This window comes from Homo sapiens, chromosome 18, assembly GCF_000001405.40.
Source record: "Homo sapiens chromosome 18, GRCh38.p14 Primary Assembly".
NCBI classification, from domain to species: domain Eukaryota; kingdom Metazoa; phylum Chordata; class Mammalia; order Primates; family Hominidae; genus Homo; species Homo sapiens.
The window spans coordinates 58,201,101-58,214,942 of record NC_000018.10 but is presented as its reverse complement, the minus strand read 5'-3'; the positions used below and the strand labels follow the sequence as shown (position 1 = coordinate 58,214,942).

At 41.1% G+C, this 13,842-nt stretch overlaps 1 protein-coding gene across 41 annotated transcripts in view, besides 1 other annotated feature; it reads right to left on the bottom strand.

Annotated features, from left to right (window-relative positions):
• The window catches only part of NEDD4L (NEDD4 like E3 ubiquitin protein ligase), a 357,315-nt gene that overhangs the window by 186,598 nt on the left and 156,875 nt on the right, over positions 1-13,842 (bottom strand). The window lies entirely within an intron of this gene.
• Positions 2,461-2,510: an enhancer, noted in NCBI's record as "active region_13384". NCBI's record gives its function as "activates an Ori minimal core promoter by ATAC-STARR-seq in GM12878 lymphoblastoid cells {active_cell/tissue: GM12878}" and the evidence as "EXISTENCE:reporter gene assay evidence [ECO:0000049][PMID:35858748]".

Here is a 13,842-nt window from a genome sequence, read left to right as displayed (position 1 = left end):
CTACTCGGGAGGCTGAGGAAGGAGAATCACTTGAACCTGGGAGGCAGAGGTTGCAGTGAGCTGAGATGGCATCGCTGCACTCCAGCCTGGGTGACACAGTGAGACTCTGTCTCAACAACAACAACAAAAAAAAAAAAAAAAATGAAAGAAAGAAAGAAACAGAAATACCACAGAGTTTTAAAAACATGACACACCTCAGAAAACATCCTAGATCTATTAATTAGAGAAAAAACCCCAAAGCTCTGTTGCAATCTATCATTTCCAGCATGATCCCGTTTAAAACAACAACAACAACAAAACACACACACACACACACACACACACACACACACACAAACCGAGCAGCTAATGTTTATGGAATCCTTACTATATGACAGCACTGTTCTAAGTCTTTTAAGAGCACCACCTATTTTAATCTTTGCAGTAACCCTAACAGTAACAGATAGGCGCTGTTATTATCCCTGCTCTACAGATGATCCCACTAAGGCTTGGAGAGATCAACAGAAGTTTCCATCCAAGTGGCCCTCTGAGTGTACATTTCTATCTCTCTCTTTCTCTGATTCAGACTAAATATCACAGTCATAAGAATCTTGGGAAAATAAGACACAGTATCATCACATGAACAGATATGGGATGGGCTTGGGTTGAAAGAAAAACAAAACCAGGGGACTGCTGCTGTACAAGTATTCTCCAGATGCCAGAAATTCAAAAGAAACAAATCAAGAGATGGAGTCAAGAGATCCAAGGGGGCTAGAGTGACTAACCCTGGGGCAGCGATCAGGTGATTTATCAGGAAGCTTCATTTCCTCTCTGCTTTTCCCACTGCTACCTTGCACTTCATGTAGGCCAAAGCAGGAATGTGGTCCTAAGACTGAAGTGCAGGCAGCTCAAGAGAGCAAGCAGGGCCATGCAGGAGCCACATCTGAAAGGCCACCTCCTGGCCCATCCCACCGGGCCCTACATATTGCTTCAACCTGGCACATTCCAGTGAAAAAGGGGCAAACGAGAGGCACAAACAGGAAGACCAGTAGACCACCAAAAACTGCCAATGATGCCAAAGGGCAGGCAAACGGGGTCTCAGAATAAACCAAAGAAGAATGTTAAATACTCACAATTAATATGCTCGTAAAATCTAAGAGGATATCAGCACAGCAAAACAAGAACAGACTAGAATTAAAAAAAAAACAACAACAACAAAAACCAAATCAAGACCTAAGAGAAGGAGCCAGCATGTTTAACCTCAAACCACAGCATTGCAGCTTCCTTCATAGGAAAAAAATGGGGATGTGGTTAACACTCATCACTGGTGAGTGACTTGGAAATCCCTGCCACCCCACTCTCCCACCATTCCACATTAACCTCCACCCCACTCCCTGCTTAACATACAGAATGAGCATTTTCATCTTGTTCTCCACACTCACACATTTACACATATGGGCACAGGAGGAATGCGTCTTTTAGAACTGGATATTATACATTTTTCTACACATTGCTTCTCATTCATCAAGTTCTCATAGAAATTCCTCCACAGCCAACTCTCATACAGCTCTAGTTCTCTCATAATATTACATGGTACAAACAGTCCATAAATTGGCCGTTTTTCAACTGATGGGTTTTCATATTTTCAGTATTTTGCCACTATAATGGTACAATAAATATCCTTATACATATGACTTTGCACACATTTTTTATTTCTAAAAGACAAATAACCGAGGACAAAGGTTGCTTAGAAGAAAGGTATGATAGTTTTTTATTTTAATATACATTGCCCATCTGCTTTTCAATTTCCCAACTGCCCATAATTCACATTTCCATCAGTATTATGAGAAATAATACCACTTGCCACTTCTATTACAGCCTTGCTATCAAAAAGTGTTATTTTTCTCTATTTTTACCAATCTGATGGGTTTAAAGTAACGTCTCATTGTTTAATCTGCATTTCCCTAGCAAAAATGAACTATTTTTCATAGGTTTGCCAGCTAGCTGTCTGCATTTGTTATCTGTGTATTCTATATTAACATTCTTTGTCCATTTTTCCTCTGTGGTTTTCTTAACAATTTGTAAGTTTTTTGTTATAGATAGTAACCCCATGTCTGTTTCAAATATCCCTTCTTGATCTATGACTTAATCACGTATCTTTTGCCACAGAAAAGTTTAAAAATATATATTCAGGCTAGGTATGGTGGATCATGCCTGTTAATCCCAGCACTTTGGGAGGCTGAGGTGGGCAGATCACTTGAGAACAGGAGTTCTAGACCAGCCTGAGCAATATGGTGAAACCTCGTCTCCACAAAAAATTGGCTAGGCATGGTAGCTGATATGGTTTAGCTCTGTGTCCCCATGCAAATCTCACCTTGAACTGTAATAATCCCCACGTGTCACGGGAGGGACCCGGTGGGAGGTAACTGAATCACAGATGCAGGTTTTTCCCATGCCGTTCTCATGATAGTGAATTACATCTCATGTGATCTGATGGTTATAAAGGGGAGTTCCCCTGCATACACTCTGTTGCCTGCCACCATGTAAGATGGGACTTTGCTCCTCATTCACCTTCACCCGTGATCGTGAGTCCTCCCCAGCCATGTGAAACTGTGAAACCTCTTTCCTTTCTAAATTGCCCCGTCTCAGGTATGTCTTTATTAGCAGTATGAGAACTAATACAGTGAGTCTTGCCTGTAGTCTCAGCTACATGGGAGGCTGAGGTGGGAGAATCACCTGAGTCTGGGAGGTCAAGGCTGCAGTGAGCCCTGATCGCGCCACTGCACTCCAGCCTGACAGAGTGAGACCGTCTCAAAAAATAAACAAATAAAAATAAAATATATGTTCAAAGTGTGTCTCTTTTTATAGCTTGTGCGTATCAAATTTTGCTTAACCATTCTCCCTCACTCCAAGATTATACAAAATAGGTTCTTATATTTTCTTGTAAAAGTTGAATTGCTTGTTTACATTTAAGTGTTTGAAGATTCCGGGACTTATTACTGATTATGATATTAGATAGAGGTCTGTGCTGTTCCCCCAACCCCCTCTCCAGATAAAGAACTGGTTATGCCAGTACCAACCTCAACAGTACTGAACTATCATCTTGTTATACATTCACTCTCTTAATGAGACACAGTCCTAGATTCTCTAGTCTGTTCCACTGAACTATTTATGTAATTCTGGATCAATACCACATTGCTTTGATCACGAAGACTTCTTATTCTTAGCATGTTGTCATTACTTGTAAGCCAAATCTGCCCTCACCGGTTTTCTTTTCCATATTTGTCTTGGCTCCTCTCAGGTAGTACGTATTTATTCTTCTATAAAGACTTCAGGATTATTTTATTCAATTAAAGAGAAAACCCACCACTTTGGAAATTCTAACCGGAATCACAAGAAATTTACTTATTAATTTTGTAATAAGATACATTCAGGCATTACATGTTTTAATTTCTCTAGATTATATTTCACATTCTTCACTAAGAAGGTTACAGGTATTAGTTCAATGTCTTCCTAGGTTATCTGCTGCTATTGTGAAAGAAATACTTAACTTCCATTTCTAGGTGCTTATCTTCAAAACACAGAAAAGATAATTTCTAGAGACCTATCTTTTATCCAGCTTCCTTGACAATTGTTTCTGTTGATTTTAGATTTTTTACTAGATGCTCTTGCGATTTCTAGACATATGACCATTTCATTGTCTTACTCCACTCACAAGAACCTCTAAGATAATATTAAATACTAATTGTAAAATGTAAGATTCTTCTCTCATTCCTAATTTTAATTGAATGGCTTTAGTGTTTTGTCTTTTAGGAAATATTTGCTGTGGTGTGTGTGTGTTTGTGTACACATATATGGCCTTTATGTTTAAGTAATTTATTTTTATTCCTAGTTCGCTTTCTCAGATTGTACTATATTAGGAATGGCTACTAAACTTTTTCAGATAGGTTTCTAGCCTCTACTGACTTATTCATATATTCCTCTCCTTCAATATGATTGTGTAACAACTGATGATAGTGATGAGTTTCTAACAGTTAATCACCCTGGTGTTACTGGAAAATAACTATTGATTATAGTGCATTCGTGTTTTGATGCACCCAAGAGTCTATTTGTTAATAAATTATTTTAAATTTCTACATTTACTTTCATAAATAATATTGATCTTTATTTTTATTTTTTTAATTCATCAGATTTTTAAATTAAAATTTTGATGGTTTTATAAAATGAACTGGGAACCTTTCCATGTTTTAGTATGTCCTGGAAGAGTAAAAATAACACTCAAATTTTCTATTTTTTCAAGCCAGTGTGACCAACATGGAGAAACCCCGTCTCTACTAAAAATACAAAATTAGCCGGGCATGATGGCACATGCCTGTAATCCCAGCTACTTGGGAGGCTGAGGCAGGAGAAGCACCTGAACCTGGGAGGCGGAGGTTGCAGTGAGCCGAGATCGCACCGTTGCACTCCAGCCTGGGCAACAAGAGCGAAACTCCATCTCCAAAAACAAACAAACAAACAAAACCTCAGCTGGAAATCCATGGATTCCTGGTGCCTTTCTCAATGGTAACTTTTAATCATCTTTCCTATCTCTTCTATAGTAATTGGTCTATTCAACTTTTCCATGCTTCTTGGATCAACTTTGGTAATTTGTATTTTCCTAAGAAGTCAGCCCTATATTTTCAAATGTGTTGCCACAGGGCTGCATGTAATGTTTTCTTATAAAGTCTATTGATATCTCCTGTGTCTCCTTTCTCATTCCTATTATCTATTTCTTTCTTTTTTGTTGTTGTTGATGTTGAGACGAAGTGTCGCTTTTCTTGCCCAGGCTGGAGTGCAATGGAGTGCTCTTGGCTCACCGCAACCTCTGCCTCCCAGGTTTGGGCAATTCTCCTGCCTCACCTCCTGAGTAGCTGAGATTACAGGCATAAGCCACCATGCCCGGCCAAATTTGTATTTTTTTAGTATGGATGGGTTTCTCCATGTTGGTCAGGCTAGTCTCAAACTCCCGACCTCAGGTGATCCGCCCGCCTTGGCCTCCCAAAGTGCTAGAATTACAGGTGTGAGCCATCATGCCCGGCCTCTCATTCCTATTATCTAGTTCTAAGTTAGGATGATTTCTTTCTGTTCCTGAGTTAGGATAATGAGAGTTTACTTTATTGGTCATTTCAAATAACCAGCTATTGGATTTACATAACTTTTAAATCTTATCATCTCCTAATTCCTCCCTCCTAGTTTTTATATTTTTTTGTTTACTTAGTTGATCTTTTTCTAATTTCTTAGGATGCAGACTCAATTCTTTACTTTTTACCTTCATTAAATAATGAACGTAGGTCTTTTCTCCAGGTGATATGCTCTATGATGCTTAGAATTTTTACAAAGACCAAGAAAGAAAAATACCCAAGATGAAAACGTTATGAGTCACAAGGCAAGTAAGTAATGGAACTAACAGGCTAGTTGTTGGCATTCTAAGAAAGGAGGGGGAAGAGTAAACTGTCCCTAGTGGGGGCGGGGGTGGGGTGTGCAGAAAGAGAAGGAGGAGGTAAAGGAGGGGGAGGTGGAGGAGGAGGAGGTGGAAGAGGAGGGGGGCAGTAGGAGGTGGAGGAGGAGGAGGAGGGGGCAGGAGGAGGGAGAGGAGGAGGAGGGGGAGGGGGGGAGGAGGAGGGGGAGGAGGAGGTGGAAGAGGAGGTGGAGGTGGAGGATGAAGGGGGAGGAGGAAGTAGTGGAGGAGGAGGAAGTAGTGGAGGAGGAGGTAAGGGAGGAGGAGGAGGTGGAGGAAGAGGAGGGGGGCAGGATGAGGGGGAGGAATTGCTTCCATTTCCTGAGTGCAGGCCGAGTTTGAACTATAATCTCTTATCTATTATCTTTCTTATCCCATTGTTAGGTTTTCACTCTTCATTTCACATTTTGGGAAACATGTTTGGGTTCATATTCAGGCTTAAAAAACTAACCAACAAACAAAAAAATTCCCACTGGAATGAATCCTGCAGTCAGACTACATTTAGCCTAATTTTAAAACTGCTATTAAATATCTAGAATCAGTGTTCCAAAGTGAAGGCACCCCAGGATCTCGAATCAGCAAAGGTTCACTCCCATGTCACGACAGTGAGCTCACTCATGCATAAATGTGGCCTAATATATCTGAGGAGTATTTTCAGCACAGCTTGATATACAGCTCTGTTAATCAGAAGAGCCAGTCATTCAGAACCCACTCCTTCTCCAGGTTCAGAAATGTACCCTTTTAAAAAGTGACCTTGTCTATGCAATAGCTTCAGACAGCAATTCTCAAAAACCAATGCTGAAGGGGCAAAGTGAATCTGCTTCTCCCAGGGTGAGAGGCTCTGACCTCATTAGAAAACTGTCTAAGGCCAGAAGCAAAGCTGCTACTATTTTCTTAATCCTCCCTACAGGGAATTAAGGATGACTTAAAAGGTCTCAACCTGGCCTGGGGAACTTGAAAATGACACTCGAATAAAATCACATTCATTTATGCTCTACTAATTCAGAATTATTTTTATGATCTGGAAAGAGTTTGGACTCACGTTTCCATTTTTAGACCCTATGACAACAGGCTGAGAAGGAGGCTCAACCTACTTATGGGAACAAATTTTAGATGCTCTGACTCATATGTAAACAACTGAAGTGCTAATAATTTATCTGTTAGTTAGAGCAAATACTTCTATTTGGGTTGCTACCATAAGCCCTTGTAAGAACTAGAACCAAAATGACAATGTTCATATGTCCTATATTTAATTTTGTCACTTTGTTCCTGAATACTTTCCCCCGAGTGAATCCCAGTGAATAAAATGTTACTATTATATTAAACCCCCATTAGAACAGGAACTCTTTGGTAGTAGGAACCATTTAATGTTCCAGTGAGGAAATAATACCACTCTGCTCTTTGTTGTTGTTGTTGTTGTTGTTGAGACAGAGTCTCACTCTGTCACTCAGGCTGGAGTGCAGTGGCATGACCTTGGCTCACTGCAACCTCCGCCCCCTGATTCTCTGCCTCAGCCTCCTGAGCAGGTGGGACTACACAGGTACTCACCACCATGCCAGCTATTTTTGTATTTTTAGTAGAGGCAGGGTTTCACCATGTTGGCCAGGCTGGTCTCAATATACCTCCCTTCTCTTTAAGTTATGTCAACTTTTTGGGGGAAAGGTCCAAAATTCCACCTTCCATGAACAAAAAACCTGACCTGGATCCTGCTTAAGCAACCTCAGATCCTGGTCAAGAGCCAGATGTCAGATGACACTCGTGAGTGAGTGCAGAGGCACGGCCAAGGGTGCAGCTGTACCCCAAACATCACTGGGGGATGGGCATGGTACTGCCGCTACTAAGTCATAGAAATTTTAAAAAGGTGGAACAGGGCCCAGGGACCCTCGGCTATCAAGTCTCTTAGAACCTACTGGCTGGTTCTGCACAGGACCACCAGCCCAAGTACCTTCATATATTCCTGTTGCACTTAGAGGTTAACAACCCTGTAGGCCATCCACTCTCACTCCCATCTATGCATATTACCCTGCCTGCCTTAACCCATTCTTCAGGGAGGAAACTACAGCTCCAGAACTGTAAGTAGGAGAGTTTCAAGGACGCTGCATTGGCTATAAACAAGCGCTGTTTCCAATTTCCCAGAAAAAAAAAAAAATCTCTAAAATAAGGTATTTGGTTGATTTCCCTCTTCCTGATCCCCACACAGCACTCTGGTTTTCATCTGTGAAAAATAAATGGAACAATCTCTGTTTTCCAAAGTTCCGTGATATACAGCTACTTGTCATGGTTAAAATATAAAATGGCGCCGGCTGGAACTTCCAGATATCCTTGTATCTTTTTCAAGCACTTTAAATTTCACTTCCTGGTGAAAATATTCTATCTGATTCCATTCTTGGCAAACAACCGTATGCTAAAGCTTAAAGAGAAAAGAGTGGATGGGAGAACTAATATGCACTTTCACAATGCAAAGGACAACAGGGGAGACACAATTCAAAGGTCTTTTCCTTGTGCACAGGATGGGTGGGAGAACTGAGTGCCTTTGGATCGTCCCTTATTCCATCACACTGTAGCAAGTGGTGTACCCCAACTGCCGATGAAGGTGCCCAGGTGGGGATGCAATTGATTCCTACCTGTATGTTCGTGCTGTAATATTTGCCCAATGAGGTCAAGGAACAGGAGACCACCATGCCTCCCACAAACACCCACACACTTAAATGCCTCCAACCTCAGCCAGCAATTCTGTTACTTCTCACTTCTGCGGATTTCTCTTCTCTTACTTGTGCTCTTTCCAGTTTTTGCCTATTATTTCTCCCACATATCTTAAGTTCTGTTGCCAGATCTCTATGCATACGTTACCATGTCCAGCAAAGATGAATTCTCCTGTACCTTAAGCAGCAGGCTGTCCTCCAAGAGCTTATACCTGAGGAGGGGAGGTTCAGACCCCGTGCAAACACAGATCCATAAACTGGTTACATTTGACTGGAAAACTTGATATAATCTTCAAACCGATGTTGCTGGGCTGAACCAAGCTACTCTCCTGCTGAAAGTTTGGGTTTTTGTTGTTGTTGCTGTTGTTGTTGTTTTGAGATGGAGTCTCGCTATGTCACCCAGGCTGGAGTGCAGTGGTGCGATCTCAGCTCACTGCAACCTCTGTCTCCTGGGTTCAATAGATTCTCCTTCCTCAGCCTCCCAAGTAGCTGGAATTATAGGCATATACCACCATGCCTGGCTAATTTTTGTATTTTTAGTAGAGACAGGGTTTCGCCACGTTGGTCAGGCTGGTCCCGAACTCCTGACCTCAGGTGATCCGCCTGCCTCGGCCTCCCAAAGTGCTGGGATTACAGGGATGAGCCACCGCGCCCCATGCTGAAAGTTTCAGTGCATCCTGTACCCAGCGCAAAGGGGAGCATCTTTCATTCCTCTGCAAATAGCTTTATTGCAATTAAGAGAAATTAAAGGAATTAAGGAAGCCATTGTACAGAAGGTGGTATCTGAACTGGATCTCATCAGCTAAGCAAAGTCCAGACATATGCAGAAGGAGGCACAAGGACACTAGGATTCTGAGGCCAGAAGAACAGCACAGAGGAAAACAAACATCAGAACATATACAGACAACCCAGACAGTCTAGCGTGGCTAGAACCAAGGGGATGTGAAAGGAAATGAGAGGGGACCTGGGTTAGACCAAAACTATATTCTACCAGAATGCCAGGGAAAGGGTTTGGGAGTTTTTTTTTTTTTAAACAATAATGCTATTTCTTAATTACTGGTGGTTTCTACCATTTCTCTGTGAAATCTTCAACTAATGACTAATGAATAGCCCTGAAATTTCAAGATCCGCCTTCCTACATGTTTTCTATTCTTACTAACTTAATCATCTCATTTCCCTCTCCCAACTGACACACTCCACAGTCCCTACCAGCTGCCTGCCTCCCTCCTTCTCTCCCTGCCAACCACACACACACACACACACACATACACACACACCCCTCTAGTCAAAATAGCCCAAGCTACTTATGATTATAAAACAAACTTTCAAATATTTTTACCAAAAACATTTCTTCTATATATAACTTCCATCATTTTTAAAAGGGTAAATATTTTTGCCAGGTGGCTGTATTTACCTTTCTTTAATCTCTTGTTATTCTCTTGGACATTTGTGAACACAACAGATTACTTGGTGTGTTAGCTCATGGCTTTACTGCTCATTCTCCTACCAACCCACAACTGTGCCTGTGCTAGCTAGAAGCTGGTGACCACAAAACTATATTAGTTCATTAGGAGTTAATTAAAAGGACTAAGAACCTCAAAAGCAGGAAACACAAATAGGACATAATAAAGATGATACCTTTGATTCTACATTGCTTACTCTACTTGGTCGATCTTAGAATATCTTATGGTTATGGATAAAATGTATTTGATGGGTTGAACTCTCAACCCAAACATCCCATATGGAGATGCTCACAGACTACTGGATGTCTGGATCTGATCCACATTCTGCTTTATCACTGGTTTGATGCCGAGTTCCTCCCCTGCCATTTTTTGATCTATTTTTTCCCTTTCTTCATCATACTCTGTTGGATTTCAGAGCTGGAGAGTTTCATTTTGTCTCGCAAACCATTTGACCTCTAGTGCTTTTTATAGCACCTTCTTGCTTCTTTTTTAAACATTCACATAGATGACCTTCAGAAAGATCTACAATACATATAAAACCTTTTATGTAATGAGTGTCTAATGTGAAGAACATGATGGACTATCTAAACTTATTTTTATAAGACTAAAGCTCAGAAACATAAGCAATTCCCATGCGTCATGACCTGTCACCAGTTAACATAATGTGAAGGAAAGTGATGAGAGTGATTTTCATTTACTTAGACGCCTGCTCATTCATTTGGTTGGAGCAATCCCAAGAAAACCTTGCCCAGTGGAAATTTCAAGGTTTCTATTAGACTGTAAGCATCTTGAAGTCAACGGACTTACTTTACTCCTTTATGTACTCCACATAACCACCTTGTCACATATACACCAAAAGCAAAATAACTGCTTATTGTGAATAAGTAAATCACCATTAATTATTTTGTAAATATATTTGTGCCTACAAGGTACAGACAGATCTATGATAAAGTCAGCTAGGCATTTTTTTTTTTGAGAAGGAGTCTCACTCTGTTGCCCAGGCTGTAGTGCAGTGGTGCAATCTTGGCTGACTGCAACCTCCGCTTCCCAGGTTCAAGCAATTCTCCTGCTTCAGCCTCCCGAGTAACTGGGATTACAGGTGCACACCACCACGTCTGGGTAATTTTTGTACTTTTAGTAGAGACGGGGGTCTCACCATGTTGGCCAGGCAGGTCTCAAACTCCTGGCCACAAATGATCTGCCCGCCTTGGCCTCACAAAGTGCTGGGATTACAGGCGTCAGCCACCACGCCCGGCCAGCTAGGTTTTTGGAGTCAAAATGGTTGAATTTTTTATTATAAGTCATTCTATGAAACTGGTTATTTTCTGTGGCTAAAAGCAGTGGCTTTTTCACAGCAGTTGGATTGAACTGGGTTCTCTAAAACCAGGGTGATAAGATTAGTATAAATCTTCAGACTGAAAAACTTTCTCTAATTATGCCCTTATAAATTGCAGTACACAGTTGTTATTTTTCAAATGCTACAAGTTTTTAGGGTCTGATTCACTAGTCTTCTCAGACAGTCTGGCAAGACTTAATTTGTCTGAGAGATCAACTACCAAATGGAGAATTTCATTTAATTATATAAAAAGTAAAAAAAAAAAAAATTGCAAAATGTTTTTACCAGTCATGGTTATTTTAACATTTACTAATTTGGGTATAGCTAACATAGTTTAGAAAAAAAAAAAAAGATCATCTGTTTCTTTGTATAAAAAGCTGTCTTTAAAAAGAAAACCCCTATACATTTACCAACATTCCATATTGTTATGCTCAACTCTTTCCTACAGTGTACTAGCTCTCATCACTGAATCTAGACATACTTAGATTATTACCACCACTTCCCAAAAATTTACCTTCCAAAACTGAAATGTAAGAGATTAGAAATACTAAATCTAACAATAAAGACTTTTATTTTATTTTTATTATGACAGTGGTTTCACTACTTGTAGTCACTTTTACTGCCAAGTCAGTTTGTGGATAATTTAAGAAGTAATTTGCAATTAAGTTTTTATTTAAGTATATCTAAGTATGCACTGAGGGCCAGGTGCGGCGGCTTACACCTATCATCCCAGCACTTTGGAAGGCTGAGGTGGTAGGATGGCTTGAAGCCAGGAGTTCTAGACCAGCCTGGGCAACACAGTAAGAATCCGTCTCTACAAAAAATAAAAAAATTAGTTGGTGTGGTGGTGTGTGCCTGTAGTCCCAGCTACTCAGGAGGTTAAGGTGGGAGGATCACTTGGGTCCAGGAGCTCAAGGCTGCAGTGAGCTACAAGTGTGTCTCAGTCCTTCAGCCTGGGTGACGAAGTAAAACCTTGTCTCTTAAAAAAAAAAAGTATGTACTGAGGCCCAATATTATCAGTTATTAACACAGGTAGATGTGCACACATGGACACACCTCACAGCAGCAGTAAAACAAATAAATTGAACTAGTAACTTACATAGTGGTGTGTATACTAGCAAGCACAATAGGCCCTTAACAACAATGATGAGAAAATAAATAAAGCTAGGGCACTTGTCAAACAAAAGGAGTATGAAGTATCAGAGACAAATGGCGAAGGATGAAGGCTGTGTTGAATGTATGCAGCAGGAATGGATGGCTACGCTATCCAAGAAAGACCCTACCACCCAAAGGATCAAGTCTGAACCCCTTCCAGGGGGAGGCTGGTGTGAACAGGACAGGCAGGCTGGAGGAGCGCACCAGGAGGAAGTGCAAATCCACGTGTTGAAAAGGAACTGCATCATCCCTGTTTGCAAACCGCTGTTGCATGCTCCTCTGGAGAAAGCCACCAGTCCAGCGCTTCTCCAACCTGACTGCATGAGTCACCCAGGGAATCCAGTAATTGGTAGATTCTATCTCAGCCCCTCTGGGGCAGGGCCTGACATCTTACATTGCTGATGAGCTCCGGGGATGCTGCTGCCCATGGACCACACTTTGGCAAGCACTGTCCTGGAGGACAGCCTGGCCAATAATAGGCAGAGGGAAAGAGAGTTTAACAGAAAGAATATCACCTGCCAGGCAGGGAACAGGAGACCTGGGCTTCCGGCTCTCCCTTTGTTTCCTGCTCTCAGGTCCTTTAGCTGTAAAACACAAGGGATCTCTTAGGTTCCTTTGTAGCTTTAAAAACTTGAGGCAGGAAGAAAGGTTTATGGCCTGAAGAGCTGCACCTCTTAAATCAGGGATTAAAGATGAGGACAGAGCTTTAGAGAATAAAAGGTTACTGAGGAGCTGCACATCTTCAAGGCAAGAGAGGAAGAATTTACTTATTTTTATTGGAATGCCTCGACAAAAATACCAAATGACATATGCCCAGGGCTATTTTTGCAAAACAATGGACAAGTCTGAGAATAACTCAAGTGTCCATCAATAGGGGACTGACTGAATGAACTTCCGTCAGCGTATAGCACAGAGTTATAAAAAGACAAGGGAATTCTCTGTATACTGACATTGAGTGAGTTCCAGTATACAACGCTAAGTGAAAAAAAGAAAACCAGGGCTCAGAACAGTATGTACCATGTGCTGCTTTATGAGTAAGAGAAAATACAAATATATCCATACTCTTTCCAAAAAGGGCAATGGAGGAGGGATAATCCCAGAACAAATAAAGACAGTTACCTATTAGGGGGCAGGGATGAAAGGTTGCCTTAATACACGAACGTAATAAGAACATAAACATAAACATAAACTGTGTATCAAGTTAGTGGTGAACTCATATAGAGAAACATTATTTCACCTGACTTTGAAACCTGTTTCTATTGTCATCCCTGATGGTATATGCTAAATAAAAAAGGACTGCCAAGAAATATTTAACTGCCTTCAGTAGCAATAAAGATAGTAAACTGTTAACAACGGTTGAGGCTGAGTGATGGGGTTTCATTATGCTGTTGGCTCTCATGTTGTCTTCTCTATTTTAGTATATGTTTGAAGAATAATTTAAAAATAGCTTTCCAAATAATCTTCTGCTTTTTTTTTTTGAGACAGGATCACACTCTGTCACCCAAGCTGGAGTACAGTGGCGTGATCTCGGCTCACTGCAACCTCTGCTTCCTGGGTTCAAGCAATTCTCCTGCCTCAGCTTCCCAAGTAGCTGGGATTACAGGCAGGCACCACCATGCCTGGCTAATTTTTGTATTTTTAGTAGAGATGGGGTTTCACCACGTTGGCCAGGGTGGCCTCGAACTCCTGACCTCAAGTGATCTGCCCGCC